The following is a 3,900-nucleotide window of genomic DNA, read 5'->3' as shown; positions in this document are numbered from 1 at the left end:
GTTGAATTTTGAGTCTACTTTGTCATGAATATTATGTCTGAGCAATGATTAACTTACTTTTCTTGAGTAAAATCCCAATGTTTGCTTGATTATTTATCAAAAGAAATAGTGCAATTAATTTGACTAGTGTAACCTGCCTCTACAAAATAGCCTATTGGAAGTTAGTTTCTGAAGGGCTAAAATCTTTAGCTACTGTGATTAATGACTTGCGTTTGTAAGCAGCATTCAAGATACTTTTTTTCTACATTACCACTTGTCAATTTATATCCAGACTTCTATTTTGCCTGTGGTGTTTTGATTGTTGTGGAGTAATATCTCTTGCCATCTATCATAGTTTTCATAGCACAAAACAATGACATCAGCTTTTCTGGGAAGATGGAGTCTATACAAATATTTGGAGAGAGGTTGACTTTCTCCAAGTACTGAGTAATTTTGGTACGGTTAAGCTCTTCTAAGTGGGCAGAATGATGAGAAGTGTTCCCCTATTTGCTCTGGCATGTGTGCTATGGTTTTCTTGTATTGGTCTAGTTTGTTAGCCTTAGAGACTTCCTAAAAGACAACTAGTCGAAACTAGTTGTCTTTTAGTTCATATTAGCATGTGATTTGGAAATAAGAACGGGAGCATACTTGAAAGCTCTAGGATAACAGCTTTTCAGTCACTTGTGGTTTAGTTTTCTTAGAACTGCATAGCATGGGCCTGTTGACAGTTCTTATACTGCTTCAGGGCAGGTGGCAGGCAGTATGGTATAGTGGAAAGATCTTTTGGGGTTGGAAAAGATTTTGTTTCATGTTCAAGAGTTCATGCTGGCCCCTTAAGTGCTATGGTTTTTAGGTAATTAACCCAATTTCTGTGAATCCCCATTTCCTCATCCAAATCTATATAACCTTGACAGGGCCAGTCTCTGCCATGGTGGATTCCTCTAGTGCTGGGTTTCTCAACTTTGGCATATTAACATTTGGGGCCGGCTAATCAATTGTGGGGGCTGTCCTGTGCCTTGTAGGATGTTTAACAGCATCCCTAGCTTCTACCCATCAAATGTCAGTAGCACCTCTCTACCCCAGTTGTGACAACCAACAATGTCCCTTGTCCTTCAGTTACAGGGAAAGTGACTTTGAACTTCAAAATAACACTCAAAGAGAAGGAAGTAAAATGGCCCTTTCTGAGTATCTTTAAGCAATCCGGCACTGTGCCAGGTGTCTTCACTCAGGCTTCACAACGATCTTCTCAGAAAGGCATTGTTGCATTGTTTCCCCCATTTTACAGGTGGGAAAATGGGGTGACGCTCTGACCAAGCTAAAATATATGTTAATTAGAACTTAGATCTAACTGTAAGGCCCATGTTCTCTCCGGTGGCGGAGCGATCAAAGTCGGCATGCACATAGCCAGGGATGAAAGTTGACTAGCACTGTGAAAATGCACTTGTATCGTCATTGAAAACTCCGTGGGAGGACTCAAAATCTCTTCCCTGAAATTAGCCATAAAATCCAACCATGTTAAGATTTGCTGTTTTTTCACCAGGCTGTATCCGGTTTTCTAAACCCATGTTTATATGAAACACTGAAGCTTTTCTTTACAAAATGCAGATTCTTAGTCCAGTGTTTTGTAAAGCCGATCGAGACCAGTATTTTTTTTTAAAAAAAGAAAAAATTTAATGAAACAAAATATCAATGCATCATAAGGAGTTAAGGTGAGGATTGGTGTTTTTGTTTTCTGTTTTTTTGAGACGGAGTCTTGCTCTTGTCGCCTGGGCTGGAGTGCAATAGCACGATCTCGTCTCACTGCAGTCTCCGCCTCCCAGGTTCAAGCGATTCTGCCCCAGCCTCCTGAGTAGCTGGGATCACAGGCATGCACCAGCACGTCTGGCTAATTTATGTATTTTTAGTAGAGACAGAGTTTCACCATGTGTCTACTAAAAGACGTATGAGGCCAGGCTGGTCTCAAACTCCTGACCTCAAGTGATCCGCCCGCCTTGGACTCCCAAAGTGCTGGGATTACAGGCATAAGCCACCACGCCCAGCCAAGGATTGTTTCTTGATGCTTTTATCTGTTTGGCATAAATTAGGTCCAGGCTTACTGAAGATCGTGTCCCAAAATGTTTGAGAGATACTGGCTTAGACAATTGCAATTGTTCATTAAAAAAAGAAACAAACAACAAAGCATACCTTTTCATTGAGCATTGGACTAGAAACTGACTTTTAACCCTGGTTGCATATTAGAATTTCTCAGGGGCTAATTGTACAAAATACTGACACATACTCTCAGAGATTGATGTAATTGGTCTGGGATGGGACCTGGGCATCAGGATTTTAAAAGCTTCCCAGGTGAGTCCAATGACAACCACAGGGCTGTTGACTGTATGTGGGGTGTCCTGTTTGATAACTGATGTCTCAGTGCTAAGAATTTGAAGTTTCCTTTTCAAAGCACTGATGATCTATTCTGTAGATAAACGGATGATAGACTCATCCATTTACATTTTTTCTGTAATTATCCTTTTCACATTGGCTATAGATGTTCAAGTATCACTTACATATACCCAACTTCCCTATACCTCTCCCGCTTCTCACAGGAGGAATTTTGGGATTGATGCAAAATGGCTTTCTGCACCTTTCTATAGGTTTTGTACATGTTTAACTGACTTCTGCATTAATCACTGAAGCTTTGAGTCCCACTGAGAATAAGCCTCTCTGTAGCCGAGTGAATGAAGGCAGCTGAGTATCTTGCTGTAGTTCACTGTTGGACTGGTGCTTTCAGGGGCTGCTTCCCTGCATCACCACCACCCCTCACCCCCCAACATCCTCTGCACAGACACGTACATCGTCCCCCGCGTGGACACATACACAATCCCAGGGGTTTCCTATCAATGTGTTCCTTTTTGCTTCTGGCTCTTATTATTAATAAAATACAGAAAAGCATGGAGAATTGGGAAACAACCCCTTCTTGCACTCAGTACTGGCCCAGCTGAGCAGGGAAGGAGTACTGGAAAGTGTAAGTGGTTGTTTGGCTTTTAAGTCAAACACTTGGGTTTACATTCTGGTTGCACTTTTCACAATCCATATGGCCTTGGCATTAACCTCTCCAGCTGGTTTCCTCTGTAAACTCAGTTTCTGCCTCCACAAGGTGGTTGTTGAAGATTAAAGGAATTTGTGCACATGATGTGTTGAGTGATCTTGGCACAGGGTGGACACCCAGGAAGTTCTACAAGTTATGTTGGCTGGGGAGGTGCTCCCTCGTCTACCTCTTCAGTGTTAGCTTTCTTCTCCGATATCAGCGTTCACTTTTTACTTCTCATTGCCACCGTTGCACACAAACACACTGATGTTTTATTTACCCCCTTCGTGGTTTCTGTGAAAGTGTGGCTTTTTAAGTAGACATTGCCAGGGAGTCAGAGCATGGCTTTCTTCCTGCTTGGTGAACCAGGAGGCTGCTGTGCGTTTAGCAGGAACCCAAGAGTCTTTATGATTGCTGAGGTGCCTGTGGCTCCTCTTGACTGCCCATGTCTGAGTGTTTGGGGGCGTTCAAAAGCCGAAGGGTGCCAAAAGTGTCTCTGGAGAATTGTGACTTTACAGTCCATAAGCAGAGGACAATATTTTCCCAGTCCCAGAGATGTAAACTATTGCCAGGGTGTGTAAGCTGTTTGGTTTCCTAATAAAATCTCTCAAGTCTTTTAATAATACCCCTTTCCCTTCTAACAATGACAAATACCAGACTAGCATTTAAAAAAAATGCTCCCATGATTTAGAAAAGTTGAAAGAATAGCACAGTGAACATGTGACCAGTTACTGTGACACTTCTCACCATGTGCCTTCTTGAGACAGGGACCTTCTCCTGAACCACAGGCCATCATCAAACCCAAGAAATCTCATTGACACAATAGTATTTCCAGGTCCAGTTGTCCATCA

The sequence above is a fragment of the Homo sapiens genome, chromosome 13 (genome assembly GCF_000001405.40).
Source record: "Homo sapiens chromosome 13, GRCh38.p14 Primary Assembly".
In the NCBI taxonomy this organism is placed as follows: domain Eukaryota; kingdom Metazoa; phylum Chordata; class Mammalia; order Primates; family Hominidae; genus Homo; species Homo sapiens.
The sequence above is the reverse complement of the archived record's forward strand: the minus strand, read 5'-3'. Positions refer to the sequence as shown.